This window comes from Homo sapiens, chromosome 11, assembly GCF_000001405.40.
Source record: "Homo sapiens chromosome 11, GRCh38.p14 Primary Assembly".
Taxonomy (NCBI): domain Eukaryota; kingdom Metazoa; phylum Chordata; class Mammalia; order Primates; family Hominidae; genus Homo; species Homo sapiens.
Window position 1 is genome coordinate 5,128,776 of NC_000011.10, and position 17,949 is coordinate 5,146,724.

Genomic DNA, 17,949 nt, shown 5'->3' on the forward strand with positions numbered 1-17,949 from the left:
TGAAACAGAAAAGAGATTAGCAGTTGCTAAGACTGGAGATGGGGGGAGCAGAAGTAATGGGATGTGACTACTAATGTATATAGATTTTTTTTTAGGATGACGAAAGTATTTTCAATTAGGTAGTGATGATGGTTGCACAGCCTTTATAATACACTAAAAATCATCAAATTGCATACTTTAAAATTGCAAATATTATGGCATGTGAATTCCATCTCAGTAAAAATAAACAATTGAATAAAGATCACCAAGGTATTCTGTTGTCTCAGCATGCTTCTGAGAATGTTACACACAGCTCTGCCCAAAGACACTGACCTAGCTCCAGCTAGAGGATCATCAGCCACACAGCTATCCCGGCACTCTGCTCCATTCATTTCCGTCTCTTTGCACTTAATCCTGAAATCATTTTTCTCTGCATCTTAATTCTCAGAGTATGTACACCTTGGCCTACATGTTTAAGGTGTGTTTTAGCCTGGATCTGTGCTACATGCTTGGTGAGCCTTTTCTCACATATTCCTCACAAGTCTCTGAGGCTCGTATTGTTAGCCCCATTGTAGAGAAGAGGAAATAACATGCCCAGGAGTATGTAGAATGTTAAAGGAAGGGTAATGGAGAAACTCAGACCTTTTTGATTCCTAGCTAGGATACCTATTTATCCATCTTTAACTTAAGGCAATCCCTTCGAGCCCTCAAACAATTTATTCTTGGAATAAATTTCTCTTTTTAAGATGTTCATTGCATCATAGTCAGGGCATATCAGTCTGACTCATATCTCAGCCCTCTAGCTGCTGTAGGTGGCTGTCCTTTATCTCGGATTCTGCATCCAATTAGCCAGAGCCCTCAATTGAAGAGCAATGGAGCAGACTCTCAGAAACTACGTGTACAACCTCATTTTGAGGCCAGGTCTTTTTTTATACCTTAAAAAAAGGTAATATGAACCCAGATCTTCAGCATGGAACAAATTTGACCTGTAAAGAAGACCAAAAAGCAACCAAGAAGTCAAACAGATCTGTGTGCTGACTGGGACCTAGCTGAAATCAGCTGGACCAGGTGCTGTACTCCATGTGGAAATTGCTTCAGCTGGGGTTTCTTTAGCAGAGAACACTGGACAGGGACAACATTGTTTCAGAAACTAGTAATATTATTATGCACTGTAATTGTTCTTTTTATTAATTACAGGTTTAAATGGCTTGAAATGCCAACCCACAGTCTAATTATGACACAAATTTTTCATTTAATTTTTTTCCATTAGATAATGTGCATTTTTAAGATCTTTGTTGTTTGTCTTCCCTCATACTCCAGAGAATGAAAAAAAAATATGTCTTTTAGGATATGTAATGTGTTTTTTTCTGATAGACCTATGTTGAAATTTTTATTTTCTGTTGATTTTTTTCCAATATGGGTGTTTTGTCTATTTTCATTTATATAATTTGGTGCATTTTTATACCAGATACTTTGAAATACAGTTTTTTCATTCACTCATGATTAATCTGTAGTTATCATCATATTGTTTGTTTTGGTTTCTTATTTAGGAGTATCACTTACTTATTATCTTCATTCTTTATCCTTCATGTATACTAACTTTTCTGAAAGAATTCATATATTTATGATTTTTTTTTCTTTTGGGAGAATGACTCCTCATTAATTATTCATTCTGCGTTATTAATGGCACAACCACTGAAATATTTAATGCTCTAATCCAGAATTAAAATGGTTATTTCATTATTAAGTTTTGCTTATCTAATTCAACAATTTTTAATATGTCTGCCTATCAACTAACATGTTGTTTTATCTTTTGTCATGTATTTTTGATTCTTTCTAAATATAATGTTTACATAAACTTTATTAAAAAAATTATGACTCAAAGTCATTTCTACATTATTGACAAGATTTTTCCCCAAAATTGTATGTATCTATGTCTGCCTCTTGAATGATATGATTTTTTACATCAGAACGTTTTACCATATTATTTCTTTCTTTGACCATGCATCTTTTCAAAATTAGTGATTCAGATGACTCTGTCAACTTGATTCTTAAGGAAAAAAAAATTTGTTTGGTTCTAAGTCTTGACTAAAGTCCTTATTCAGGAGGTGGTTTCTTATATGCCAGTTCTGTGTTTAGCTAATATATTATTTCAGGTTTGCATAATGATTATTTCAAGTCTTCACCTTTCTTTTACCCTGATAATATTGGAATAAAATCTCTAGCATGGTTTTCTGTATGGTAAGATTGCATATTACTTAGAGCCTCCAAATTTGTGGCTTTTGAATACCATTAATTGACACAAAGAAAATGTTTACTCTGTTCATTATTCAATGTCATTTTTACTTAGATTCTAAGAATTCTCAGGCATTGTCCACTGTTTTCCTGATAAAGGGTAAATAAGATAGTTTCTGTACTCAAGATGCTTTCAGTGGGTAACAGAATTTGTATGTTCAATTTTAGAACTTAAACTTCCAAATTTGAGTAAAACTCAAGTTAGGTAAAAATCAATAAAATTGTGTGGTTCTAGAAGGATATTTGATATGTAAGCCCAGATCACTGATTTTATTTTCCTGAAAATGATATTTGTGAATATGTTTAATATTTTTCAATTTTTTTTGCATTCTCTCCTGTGTAAATTCCTTAGTGTTTATAGTCATTGGTTGCATTACATAAGTTTTATGTTGTAGATATCGGTATTACTGATTTCATATTATTTTTATATTGATAAGTATTTCAGATAAAGTAAATAAGACACAGATAAATGATTCCAAATTTATCAAAATATAGATTCAAAGCAAATACTAAAAAGTGAGACATAGCTAGAATTACAGGTATGTGTTGAGCTAGTAGTTTGAGAATATTGATCTGTGACTTTCATTATATTTAGGTTTTTACTTAGAACCAACCCTAAATCTCTATAGGAGTCACTAACGATCAAGTTACTTTTTTGAAGAAAAACACTTTCACAATATGGTCACGAATTTGCTTGGTCTTCACTCCATAGACAATAGGGTTGAGAAAAGGTGGGACTAACAGGTAAAGATTTGACAAGAGGATATGAATATATGGTGGTATGTGTGAACCAAACCTGTGTGTGAAGAAAGAGAAGAAGGCAAGAAGGTAGAACTGTAGGAAGACACAAATGTGGGCAATGCATGTATTAAAGGCCTTGAATCGTGCCTCCTTCTGGGGCAGCTGAAAGACAGTGATAAAAATTTGGACATAGGACAAGGTTATAAATATTATGTCAAACCCTAGGATTGCAAAGGCAACAAATAGGCCATATATCTTGTTGACTCGGATATCTTCAGTAGCCAGCTTCACGATGGCCATGTGCTCACAGTAAGAGTGAGAGATGACTGTAGTTCGATAGTGTTTCAGACAGCATTTGATGAGCCCTAAGGAAGGTATTATAAGAATGGCAGCCCTGAGTGTCACCCCAAGTCCAATATGAGTTAAGAACTGCTGGGAAAAGATGGTGGCATGTCTCAAGGGGATACAGATGGCCACATAGCGATCCAGGGCCATTGCCAGAAGGATACCCGATTCAATTGCCTGGAATGAGTGAATAAGCCACATTTGAAAAAGACAGGCATCAAAAGAAATCTCTGGCAAATGAAACCAGAAGATGCCTAACATTTTGGGAAGAATGCAGGTGTTAAGTGCAATGTCTGTGGCTGCCAACATGGCCAAAAAAATGTACATGGGTATATGGAGGCTGTTTTCATATTTGATTATAACTAAAATTAGGGAATTTCCAATCACACCAATAAGATACATGGCAGAGAAAGGAATCCCAATCCAACACTGCACTGACTCCAGACCAGGAATCCCAATTAGTATAAACGCAGAGGGCATGAAGACTGAGCCATTGAATGTCGGCATGATTTGTTCATCAGAATCAAGTGGTAGATTTGCTGTTTCATCTTCTATTCTCTGTTGAGCCTTGATGAATTAAAAATTAAAAATATGTTAATTTATTTTAGGAAAATATACTGTAGTTATTTTAGGAGTGTATCATGTTGTATTTTCTATTCTAACTAATCTTCTCTAATTTTCTGTCTCCTTTACCAAAGTCACTGAAAGACAAACATCAGGTTCTGTTTCTCCATGTCTTAATCATTTTCAATGGGCAAAATTAAATGGATTAGACGGCTTTTTTCTGGTTCATGACTATTGGATCAACAATATTTTATGTTTATTACTCAGCATTATGTGCTTTTTCTTTGACTTACCAATTGAAATTGTAAAAAAAAAATATTATTTAATGCAGAGCAAAGAATTTTAAAACTAGACTTCATCTACATTAGCCATAAAGAAAGGATCCACAGGCCGGGCACAGTGGCTCACGCCTGTAATCCCAGGACTTTGGGAGGCCAAGGTGGGTGGATCACGAGGTCAGGAGATCGAGACCATCCTGGCTAACACGGTGAAACCCCATCTCTACTAAAAATACAAAAAATTAGCCAGTGTGGTGGCAGGCGCCTGTAGTCCCAGCTACTTGGGAGGCTGAGGCAGGAGAATGGCATGAACCCGGGAGGCAGAGCTTGCAGTGAGCCAAGATCACACCACTGCACTCCAGCCTGGACGACAGAGCGAGACTGTCAAAAAAAAAAAAAAAAAAAAAAAAGAAAGGATCCACAGTGCTGTAGACCATTCTGGTCATAATCAGAAGACAAGTTTGACTGAAATGTTCTTTAGTTTTGAAATCCACTGGCTGTTTTTTTTTTTTTTCCAGGTTAGGTTTTTTGTAGTCTTTTTCTCATATAGGCTCAAAATTCTTTCAACCTAATTTTTCAAACTTTCAGTGTCTTCTCAAAACCCAATCATATATCTTATACATTGTCCTGTGCATTCTCTAACAAAATTAATTCCTTATTTTTGAATTCATGGGTCTTTTCTTCAGCACTTCCTATCAAAGCTTCTTCTCACCTACCATGCTCAGCCATGTGCACATCTCTTGTATTAATATCAAGTGCCAACATATACCCTCTAATTTTCATTACCTAGAAATAGGCATTGTTACCTCCCTAAGCCTGAACCATCATCTCTTCTTAACAACTTGAAATTACATGAAACTCTCTAAGAAATATTATAATTTTTTTCTTTACATAAAACTTTATATATCTATACATCTTCTATCTACTCAAATACAATTATTTATATAAAGGTGAAGATTTTCTTTGGCACGTTATTTTGCATAGGACTGTTTCGATACTCTTTTCTGTCTCTGCCCTTCACTGGTAACTCCAGCATGTAACACTCTAGGCTTCCAGAGCCTTCTATCTCTGTTACCAGGGGACAAGTGTCAGTGTAGAGTGGCTTTGCCTTCTCATCATCCAAAGCTCAAGGGCTTTTTATTGTCTGAATTAATCTCTGCTTCAAGAAAATACTTGCATCACAAAATATGTGAAATATTAAATAATTTACATATTACCTGTATTTTCTTTTAGTAATTGCAAAACTCACTCTCTGAAATAATTTAAGTAGACTGCAAAATAGATAAAGATAGTAGTGGGGGGCCAACAAGGAAAAATCTCACCAACCTGCCAGCCTCATCACCTTTCAATTGTCTATTTGTTTAATTTTTTCTTTTTCCCCGATATACTTACATTGTTTCTGGGAAGTGAAAGAGCATGTATAAGCTATCTCCAGCAATTACAGAAGCATCTCTTTCTTTCTTTCCATAAAACTTATCCAAAAAATAAATTAGAGGTTTATTATTTAATGATTTTAATTAACAAAGATTTATTAAGTATCCACTATGATCCAAATATTGTTTGAAGCAATTGAGAAACAAAGATAAATTTATTTATTCCATATTTATTAATTATCTACATTTTGCTGAATGTGTGGACTTCAAAAAGTAACATGTACCATTTATTAAATATGTGTTAAATATCACTCAGTTAAAATCTTTAAACATTTTACATTGTTTTACCATTCTTAATTTATGAAATTAGCATTGATTATATTAATATATTAATATTAATATGGTTGATTATATTAATGAAAGTCTAGAACTTGTTATAAGTAAATACACTTGGATCAAAATTTTATGCTGTATTTACCCAGAAAGAACAAAATATGCAAATTTCTGTCCTCTGAGATTTTTTAATTTTTATTTTTTTAACTTATTTTTGAGATTATCGCCCAGGCTGGAGTGCAGTGGCACGATCTCGGCTCACTGCAAGCTCCGCCTCCCGGGTTCACGCCATTCTCCTGCCTCAGCCTCCCCTCCTGAGTAGCTGGGACTACAGGCACCCGTCACCATGCCTGGCTAATTTTTTGTATTTTTAATAGAGACGGGGTTTCACCATGTTAGCCAGGATGGTCTCAATCTCCTGACCTTGTGATCCTCCTGCCTCAGCCTCCCAAAGTGCTGGGATTACAGGCGGGAGCCACCAAGCCTGGTCAAGATTTTATAAATATAATCCAATAAATAAGGATTACAAGATATATGTATCAGAGGGTAATTACATGAGGCTGGGTAATGTAAAAATATACCAACTATTTTCATTACTGAGCTTGTTAAGATTCTGATGGACATTACTCCCCAATCACTTTAATTTATCACATAGGTATAGGACGCACAGTACAGAACACGTTTATTATATGCTACCTGTTTGATATATGTCCACTTCTTGAACAACATACCATCCAAATGTAAATAAAAAATAAAAGTTTAAGTCCCTTCAACCATTTGAATGGACTTTCTCCTGATCCAAGGCACTCTAAAATTTAACCTGAAAGGCTGGTTCAGGCCATGAAGGGAAGTGGGGGTGAGACATGCCCCATTACATCTCTCCAGCATTAACATCAACACAGACCTTAAGTCTAATAAGAAACATTTACAATCTGTTCTCTCTCAAGCCTGCTACCCAGAGGCTTCATCTGCATGATAAAACTTTGATCTCCATAACCTCTTACTGCAACTCAGATATTCCTTTCTAATTGCCAGTTAGAAAAATTTTAAACCTACCTACAAACCTGGAAGCACCCCTGATTTCTGGACCTAACCAATGTATTTCTTAAATGTATTTTATTGAAGTCTCATGTCTCCCTAAAATGTATAAAACCAAGGTACACCCAGACTACCTTGGGCACATGTTCTCAGGACCTCCTGAGCACTGCGTCCCAGGCCATGGTCACTTATATTTGGCTCGGAATAAATATCTTCAAATATCTTACAGAGTTTGACTCTTTGTTGACATATATACTGGGCAATAATCTCCAATTTGGCTCAAAAATATTTATTATTGCCTTTATCAGAAATATTGCTCTGATTAATCTAACAGGGCCACATGAGTAATAGTTGAGCTGGAGACTCTTTGAAAGGTAACATACAAATTCAAACTTTGACAATGTATATACTGAGTAGTCAGAGAAAAGACAGCAAAAAGAGACGATGAAGCAAGTGAACAAAATAGCAAGTGAATAAAAAAGAAAAGCAAGCCTTCAATCAAAAAGCCCATAGACCATGTTGAGAAAATAATGACCTTTCTTCTGGATAGTTTTTCATTTCCATTTCTATTTCCACCTCCACTTCCACCTTCCATTAGGCCTAATTTGTTTTTCTAGGGCAGACTTTCTCAATCTCAGCACTGACATCTTAAGCCAAATAAATTATTTGTTGTGGGAGATGTCATCTGTTTGGTAAAAGGTTTAGCAGCATCTCTGGCTCCTATCCATTGAATGCCAGTAGCACTTCCTTGTAGCAACAATAAAAAATGCCTTCAAGCATTGCCAAATGTCCCTTGGATGCATGAAGAGGGACATATCTCTGGTTGCTAGCAGTTATAACCTAAGACTTCACATTAGAGGGGAAAATAAGCCCTTAATTAAATAAAGATTGATGAATTTATGTATGTTAAATCAAACTGGGCAGAATAAAACTGGGTATTGAGGGAAATATTTTTTCAGTAGATATTGGCCAGATAAAGGAGATAGACAAGGGCATTCTTTAAAGACAAAATAGTTTGTATAAAATCACAGAAGTATGAAACACATGCTGGAAATACATATCAATAAATATTTTACTACATAAATTCATTCATAAACAGAAATAATAGTTGGTTAAATGTAAAAGGGAAAGGATCAAATGTAAAGTTACTATTTTAAGCCAAGTAATAAAAGTTTGTAAGTGATAGGCCAGACCTTTGGCCTTTTAAAAATTCTATCTGCTAGCAGGTTAGCAAATGATTTTAAGGGAATGAGAGCAAGGGCATAGTAAGATCTTGTTAGAAAGGTATTTGTGATAGTCCAGATGGGATATTATAAAGTAATGTGACAATAGTGAAGGATTAACAACAAATCAAAATCTGTGAGGACTCACCAACATGATGTAAGGGTACATTGAGAGATGAGGCAAAACATGTTCTTGGACTGAGAATTACTGCACTGGATAAGAAAAGGCAGCCTGGGGAACAACTTTGTTTGCACAAATATGCATATGTTTAAAGGAAGAAGAAAACTTCCCAAAGCCCTTGAAATTCCTGGGCCAAAGTCAACACGCTAGAAACTTACATCTTGCATGTGTGAATAAACCCTGAATAACTACCACTCCAGTTCTGATACAAGCTAATTCCAAGGATCTGAAACTACTAAGTGATTTAGGAGTCTAAGTTTACACTCCCTCCTAGAGTTAATCCACACTATCTACAATATCAGAAATCTCATCCCTTTATATCATCTTTAAAGTTACCATTTGATCTCTGCCTGAAACCTTCCCATGACAGAAAACTCTCTCCCTCTCTCTCTTTTTTTTTTTTTCGGAGATAGTGTGCCACATCGCAGGACAGCTTCCAGTGTCAACGAGGTCTTCTTTATATAGAGCTCCAAACTGCCTCCCTCTTAATTTCTCATAAAGGTCTGAAATCTACATTTTAATAATAGACACCAGTCATAGATAATAGCAGTGAATTCTACAGAACCTGAAGCTGGTCAAAAGAGGTCAAATCCTAGACCTGCTATTGCTTGGCCTTGCATGCCCTTGAGCCAGTTGTGAAATTCTAACTACCTCAGTTTCCTCATTGGTAAAATAGAAAGAGACACATTACAGAGTGATTGTAAAAATTAATGACACAATCCATTTCAAATATTGAGAAATAAACAAAAATGTGTTGATTGGCACCGGCTATTTTTCTGTAAGACTTTATCCTTCTCATCCCATAAAATAACTTCACATATTTGATGACACAGTGAGCAGTTCTCCTAAATCTTCCCCAGTCTAAGCACGTTCAATTTTCTTGGCTTTTAGCAAATAAGCTTTCCATTTGCTTATCAGCCCAGATAATCATTCTCTAGATGTCCTCCCATTATTAAATCTCACTTTAAAATATGTCACCCAGCATTTCATCGACTGATCATAAATATTCTGAAAAGCATGAGATACCATGAGACATCATTTTAGAGTTTGAACACTCAACTATTTTAAGATTCTGTTGCATTTTTATCATCCTGGCATATTGAATCGCAGGAGACATATGTCCTCTTTAGAATGAATTCTTCATTTTCCCAAATACCATGCAGAATCTCAAGCTCAAAGACTTACCAGGGATATCAATGGACTTATAAGTAGAAGCCATAGAGGAGAACTCTTTTTTGTTTATGTTTCAGGCAGTGAACCCTGAGCATTTTGTATTACAAAAGGCCCCTTTGGGATTGGGTCTCACAAATCTCTGGCCAGCCTGGAGGACCACTTGGGACAAGAGTGAAACAAGAGGCGGAATATGGTTAAGAACTCAGAAGATTCATTAACTAATCGAGCTCTGTATCTAAAAATACAAAACAGAACCAAAAAGACTCAATCTCTTCAGGACTTGGAACCAAAATGAACTCCTTTTACAAATTCATAAGAGATGACAGTGTACCATGATGACAATGTCATCACAGCACTTAATTATAAAAATAATGAGCCAATAAAGGGAAATTAAAACGTCTTGAAATATTCAGACTAATCAGTGTAGACAAATGCTGACAGATAATTAAAGGAATATTTTCGTAGTTTAATTCCAGTATGATAAGCAATTATTTCTCATTAGGTTCATGAAAGAGGCTGACTTTGAAAAGTGTACCTCAGGGCCCCAATCACAGCCACTCTCTGAGCGGCTTCTGCATGAACTTTGGTGACACAAATCTTTCTTATATACAAACCAGCTCTCCTCAAGTTGTCCCAGTCATGTCAGAATTCTGACACAATGATATGTATTTTTCAAAAATGTTAGTGCAGTCATAATATCTATATCAACTTTGCGTTGGGGACTAGAATTTTTAACGTTTATTTCCTTAGTTGTGATAAAAGAAAAACTTCAGCCAAATTAAATTTAGAAAAGTTTAACTGAGCAATTTGCAAATTGGGCAGCCTCCCCGCAAGCTAGAAGAGTAGGCTCTGGGACTCCAGCGCAGCCACATGGTGGAAGATTTATGGACAGAAAAAGGAAACTGAGGTAACAGAAAAGAGAAGTGAAGTACAGAAACAACTGAATTGATTACAGGTTAGCGTTTGCCTTATTTGAACATGATTCGAGCAGGTGTCTACAATTGATTGACCAAAACTCAGTGATTAGCACAAGCGTAGGCTACAGTCTGTTTATACCTCCACTTGTTATAGTTCACAATATACAGAGAAACCCTTGGGCCGAAATTAAAATATGTAAGGAGGCAACTTTAGGCTAAACTTGGTTTTACAGTTGAAAAAAGAGTTTGTGACTTACAAAATGGATTTTACAAGTTGAACTCATAAATACAAAGAATAAACTGATGGTTACCAGACTTTTGGGAGATGGGAGGATTGGGGAAATGTTGGTGAAATGACAAAAAACTTCAGTTAGATGGAGAAAATCAGTTCAAGAGCTATATTGTACATCAAGGTGACTATAATTAATCAACATATTATATATACTTGAAAATTGCTAAGAGCAGGTTTTTAAGTGTTCTCACAACAATAAAAAAGATAAATATGTGAGATGCACGTGTCACTGATAAGCAGTTCTATTTAATCATTCCACAATGTATACATTTATCAAAACATCATGTTGTACACCACAGATTTATACAATTTCTACTCATCAATTAAAAAGGAAAAAGGAAAAGGGATTGACAGCTTTGGCCTAAAGTAGAGAGAGGGAAAAGATTCCCATTCTCTGCATAGTACTAGAAGTCTTGAAGACTGGATTTCTTGCATCTGCCTGAGACATATGCTCTTGCCAAGAGTCACAATGCTTTTCTCCTGTCTTATTGGGTCTGGACTTATTCAGGAGACCTGTTCTTTTTACATATAAAGAGCCAGTGACTCCATCTTGTCAGTAACCTCCCATAAAATTATATCCAACCTAGAAAAACCAATGGTATTGAATTAAGAGCAGTTATGTACTAGAACCAGCTCATATCATGCCTATAAGAGCTGGTTTCAAGCATCTCTTTCCAGCTTTGCTTTCACTGACTTCACGTTGGTAGCTTGACATCAGCCATAGCCGGAGTATTTACATCAGGAAAGTGAACAAACAATGCAAATAAGAATGCCAATCCCTGACAGAAATAACAACATATGAACCCCAAATAAAATGAAATATTTTCAGGAAAAGTAAGATAAATACTTTTCAGATAGATATGAAGTAGGCTCAGGTAAAATCTGTACACTTCTGAAATCTAAATACTACTTTATTATTTATAGAGTAACTAACAAATATAGACCTACTGAATGGCTCCAAAGATACTTTTGGAAACATGCAAAAAAATATGTGAACCTCAAGGAATCACAATGCTATAGAATACTAGAGAAAAAAATATTACTAGATACTATTTAGTTAAAACCCATTGGAACAATGGGGAAAACATCTGTTTTAGACGCAATGTGACTCACTACTTTGGTGACTGATATGGATCCTTAGTACTCATGCTAATAAATAAAAACAATGGTTTGCATAAGCATTTTAATGGAAATGTATACCCCTGAAAAATGTAATAGGAAATAAAACGCGTTTTTTAAAATAGACTCCTATCTGCACGTTTTTCAGAGAAAAGCAGAAACAAGGCATTTGAGTTAAAATACAACAGAAACAAAATTTGAATAGCTTTTACTATGGATGGTTGATAAAATTCATCTAGTGAAAATAAATGTTTTAATGAAATACGAAAATTTAAAATACAAAGGCCTGACCATATGTATATGACATGTAGAATTTTACAAATTAAGATGGATGTCTTTACCACGCAAAAAAAGAAGGGATCATGGAAAAGCTTATATTGGCCAGAGAATTACCTACTAAGTTCAAAAGTAGAGTCATCTATATGATGGACTATTAATCACAAAGATAAATGAAGTTCTGACTTATGCTAAAACATCAATGAACCTTGAAAAGATTACGCTAAGAAGCCAGACATAAAAGGCAACATGTGGTATAAACCCACTTATATGAAGTATCCAGAATACACAAATCCATAGGGACAGAAAGTAGATGAGTGATTACCAGAATCTGGAAGCAGGAAGAAATGGGGAGTGACTGCCAGTGGGTATGGAATTTCATTATTGGTGTGATTAAAATGTTCTGAGGCTGGGTGTGATGGCTCATGCCTGTAATCTCAATGCTTTGGGAGGCTGAGGTGGGCAGATAACCTGGGGTCATTAGTTCGAGAGCAGCCTAGCCAACATAGTGAAACCCTGTCTATACATAAAACAAACAAACAAAAATTGTAAAAATTAGTTGGGCATGGTGGCACATGCCTGTAGTCCCAGCTACTTGGGATGCCGAGGCAGGAAAATCACTTGAACCTGGAGGTTGCAGTGAGCCAAGATCATGCCACTGCACTCCAGCCTGGGTGACAGAGCGAGACTCCATCTCAATAAGGAAAAAAAAAAGTTCTGAAATTACAGGGTGGTAATAGTTGCATTATTTTCTGACTATACTAAATCCACTGACTTGTACACCTTTAGCAGGTTAATTATTTGGAATGTGAATTATATCACAATTAAAAATAATAATTGGCTTAGCATGGTATACACAGACTATACAAAAAAACCACTAGATATATGTTTTCAAACATTAGGATATGATAAATAAATATGGTGATGTAATTTGATAACCAAGAAGGAAGCATAGCTCAAATGTAAATGCAAAACCTTTATTCTGGGTAGAAAGGATATATGGAAATCTTTTGTACTTTCTACTCAGTTTTTCTGTAAACCTAAATTTTATCCAAAAACCAAAGTATATTAATGAAAAAACAATAAAATAATAGAAAAATCTTTTTTGTTGTTGGCAGAGTCTCACCCTGTTGTCCAGGCTGGAGTGCAATGGTGCAATCTCAGCTAACTGCAACCTCCACCTCCCAGGTTCAAACTATTCTCCTGCCTCAGCTCCCCTTATAACATGTATACAAAGATTCACATGTACCCATTATCACAAATTGTTCATATTTTGCCCCATTGTACTTTATCACTAGTTCAGTAGGTAGGCAAAAGGAGTATTTTTTTTTTCTGAATGGTTTACAAATAAATTGAAGACATGGTTACCCTTTATATCTAAATTTTAAAGTTTGTATTTCCTAAGGAAAAGACATTACATTGTATAACTATGGTATTATAACCAAGATGAGGACAGTTAGCATTGAAATAAAATTATAACCTAATATAAAGTCCATGTTTAAAGCTAGACAATAGTCTCAACAATGACATCTATAGCTATATTTTCTTTTTTCAGAATTCAATCCAGGAATACCTAGTGCAGTTAATTTTCGTGTCTCTTTAGACTTCTTGAATTTTCAAAACCTCCTCAGCTTTTCTTTCATATCTTGGATCTGTGAATAAACCCTGAATAACTACCACTCCAGTTTTGATACAAGCTAATTCCAAGGATCTAAAACTACTAAGGGATTTAGGAGTCTAGATTTACACTCCCTCCTAGAGTTAATCCACACTATCTACAATATCAGAAATCTCATCCCTTTATATCATCTTTAAAGTTACCATTTGATCTCTGCCTGAAACCTTCCCATGACAGAAAACTCTCTCCCTCTCTTTTTTGTTTTTTTTCTGAGATAGTGTGCCACATCGCAGGACAGCTTCCAGAGTCAACGAGGTCTTCTTTCTATAGAGCCCCAAACTGCCTCCCTCTTAATTTTTTTCTTTCGCTTTCTTGATAGTGGAATTTTTGAGGAACATCCATTTACTATTTAGAATTTCCATCATTTTAAGTTTCTTTGGTGTTTCCTCATGACTAGGATTCAGGCTATGCTGTTTTGCTTGTTTGTTTTTAATATCGCAGAATAATATAGCCTTTCTCTGTTCACCATATCATTAATCACATGATGCTGATATGTTCTAATATTAATGTGGTTAGTTTCAGTCACTTGGTTAATGGGATGTCACTCTGGATTCTTGGTAAGTTGCTATTTTTCTCTTTGTATTTCATAGAAATCTGTGAAAAAATATATTTATTGAGACGATTTAAATAGTCCACTCCTCTGAACACTTTCACTCATGAGTTTTTTTATTCTGTTTATGAATTTTTAAATCCATCATACCTTTCCTATTTATTTATTGGCATTACACTGTAAAGAAGAACATTCCCTTTTCCCAAATTTGTATTGCTTTACTTATGTTTGTATAGATTCACAGAATCTGATTTTATTCAATGGGCTATAATCCTTTGCCATAATTATTTATTTTGATGCTCAAAATTTTCTAAATTTTGCCATAAGGAGCTCCTTCCAACCAGATCTTGGGTCCTTTCCACATGTTCCAATCATGCTTTGAGTACTTCCTTACTTTCTATCTCTGCATCATCATTTCAAATTACTTTATGCTTTTTCAGCTCAAGCCACAGAAACAGATATTTTTCCGAAAAGCCCTGGTCTCTTTCTGTGAACAAAGTTATTAAGAAAATCAGTATCTTGAAACAAGGATTGTTTATTCATTGCCATTGTTTGTTCATTGCTTTTGGTTCCTATAAGTGAACAGAGGAAATACATGCACACACACACACACAATTATATAATTACATTTGCATATGTTTGTATCTCTCTTTATTAAAAACAATGAATCCATACTTGCAATTGCAATTGGAATCCAAACCTTCAAGATTCTTTCTAGTCTCAATACTTTACTTACAAGTAATTATTTTCTTCACAAGTATAAAAATTATCCTCCATTATCCTCAACAGTTTTTCTCATTTCTTCAAGCCTAGAATACCCAGTAAATAACTCCCATATGGCTAGCCAATATTACTATGAAAAGCAAATGTAATAGCTGTTTGGTGTTTGTTTATACTACTCTTTTGTTACTAAGAAAAGACAGTAAAATAAATTGATCTTAAGCTTATTTTTTGCAAATACGTTACTCATTATCCTATCAAGATATAAAATATTTCCTGCACTCCAGAAAGTTTTCCCAACATGACCATTCCTACTTTTTCAGGGGAAAGCATTGTTGTTTAAAAAAAAAAATTACTTTCAATTAATTTTACCTGTCCTAGTGAGAGGTGACAGCGTGCTGGCGGTCCTCACAGCCCTGGCTTGCTCTCGGCGCCTCCTCTGCCTGGGCTCCCACTTTGGCCCCACTTGAGGAGCCCTTCAGCCCGCCACTGCACTGTGGGAGCCCCTTTCTGGGCTGGCCAAGGCCGGAGCCAGCTCCCTCAGCTTACAGGGAGGTGTGGAGGGAGAGGCGTGGGCGGGAACCAGGGCTGCGCCCAGCGCTTGCTGACCAGCGCGAGTTCCGGGTGGGCGTGGGCTCGGCGGACCCCGCACTCGGAGCAGCCGGCCGGCCCCACCGGCCCTGGGCAGTGAGGGGCTTAGCACCTGGGCAGTGAGGGGCTTAGCACCTGGGCCAGCAGCTGCTGTGCTCAATTTCTCGCCGGGCCTTAGCTGCCTTCCCGCGGGGCAGGGCTCGGGACCTGCAGCCCGCCATGCCTGAGCCTCCCCCACCACCCCTTGGGCTCCTGTGCGGCCGGAGCCTCCCCGACGAGCGCCGCCCCCTGCTCCAGGGCGCCCAGTCCCATCGACCACCCAAGGGCTGAGGAGTGCGGGCGCAGGGCGTGGGACTGGCAGGCAGCTCCACCTGCAGCCCCGGTGTGGGATCCACTGGGTGAAGCCAGCTGGGCTCCTGAGTCTGGTGGGGACGTGGAGAACCTTTATGTCTAGCTCAGGGATTGTAAATACACCAATCGGCACTCTGTATCTAGCTCAAGATTTGTAAACACACCAATCAGCACCCTGTGTCTAGCTCAGGGTTTCTGAATGCAACAGTCCACACTCTGTATCTAGCTACTCTGGTAGGGACTTGGAGACCCTTTGTGTGGACACTCTGTATCTACCAAATCTGGTGGGGAGGTGGAGAACCTTTGTGTCTAGCTCAGGGATTGTAAATGCACCAATCAGCGCCCTGTCAAAACAGACCACTCGGTTCTACCAGTCAGCAGGAATGTGGGTGGGGCCAGATAAGCAAATAAAAGCAGGCTGCCCGAGCCAGCAGTGGCAAGCTCGTGGTAGCTTTGTTCTTTCTCTCTTTGCAATAAATCTTGCTCCTGCTCACTCTTTGGGTGCACACTGCCTTTATGAGCTGTAACACCGCGAAGGTCTGCAGCTTCACTCCTGAAGCCAGCCGGACCCGAACCCACCGGGAGAAACGAACAACTCCAGACGCGCCACCTCAAGAGCTGTAACACTCACTGTGAAGGTCTGCAGTTTCACTCCTGAGCCAGCAAGACCACGAACCCACCAGAAGGAAGAAACTCCGAACACATCTGAACATCAGAAGGAACAAACTCCGGACACGCTGCCTTTAAGAACTGTAACACTCACGGCGAGGGTCCGCGACTTTATTCTTGAAGTCAGTGAGACCAAGAACCCACCAATTCCAGACACACTAGAACATCATATAAATACTAAAATATGAACTAATCAGTTTTACTCACTAAAAAGTTTTTTTCTAAATTATGATCCATACTTTTGCATAGCTTATTAGTTTATTTATGAAGTGTCTAGTAAAATGTTTTGCACATTTTTGTCTTTTACATGGAGTTATGAGTTATTTATATAAAATTTAAAAAATACTTATATAATTCAGATTTAAGTTTTTTTGCATGATTTTAGTCTGTTTATTGCTTGTTAATTTTCTTAGCAGTATACTTTTGCTGTAGTCGAAATTGTTGATAAGGTTATATCTTGTTGCTTCCTGTGTCGTAAGAAGGAAATCTTTGCCAATCCTCAATATATTAAGGTATTCTGATTTTTTCTTCCTAGAAGCCTTATTTTTCACTTCTATATTATCCCATAAATATACATCCTATATTTTGTGTGGTATTAAATAAATTTTTAGATTGAACATATATATATTTGTAAAATATATATAGATATATATGAATATCTAATTTTGTTTAAAAGGCTTTCTATTTTCCATTGAATTGCTTTGATACTTTTGTATAAAATCAATGGATTGTACAAATGTGGGCTTACTTACAGGCTCTCTGTTGTGTTTCATTAGCTGTTCTCATGCTGATATCACACTGTCTTTATTATTAGAATTTTGTAGTAAGTCTTGATGTCAGGTATTCTCAGTAATCAACATTTATTCTTTGAGATTGCTTTGGCTGTAGGTCCTTTGAATTCCCATGTAAAATATAAAATTACCTTCTCAATTCATGGCAAACAAAAGGTTGTTATGATTATATTTGGGATTGCTTTGAATCTTTAGATGACTTTAAGGAAATTAACATTTTAACAATAATGAGATTTCCAATCCATGAATATGGAACAGCTCTCTATTTCTTTAGATTTTGCCTTTCTTTCAACAATGTCTTGTAATTATCAGTGTAAAATTCTTGTATTTTATTGTATGCATAAATATAAATTATGTATCTTATGTTTTTACACTTTATGGCAAACTATTGTTATTTTCTAATTACTGGATTCCAGTATGTAGATTTACAAACAATTTTTACATAGACTTCCTACATTAAAACTTGCTAAAT

General features: G+C 36.4%; 1 protein-coding gene across 1 annotated transcript; it reads right to left on the minus strand.

The window, feature by feature from the left end:
* OR52A5 (olfactory receptor family 52 subfamily A member 5) lies at positions 1–9,581 on the minus strand. Its single transcript, NM_001005160.3, has 2 exons — positions 9,536–9,581; positions 1–3,927 (listed from the first exon to the last, which is right to left on the minus strand). The coding sequence occupies exon 2, from the start codon at positions 3,865–3,867 to the stop codon at positions 2,917–2,919; it is 951 nt and encodes a 316-aa protein (NP_001005160.1). The 5' UTR covers positions 3,868–3,927; positions 9,536–9,581; the 3' UTR covers positions 1–2,916.
* Positions 9,582–17,949: the final 8,368 nt, after the last annotated feature.

Coding starts and splice junctions, on each gene's coding strand:
- OR52A5 (NM_001005160.3), bottom strand. CDS start 3,867: ATGCCGACATTCAATGGCTCAGTCTTCATGCCCTCTGCGTTTATACTA.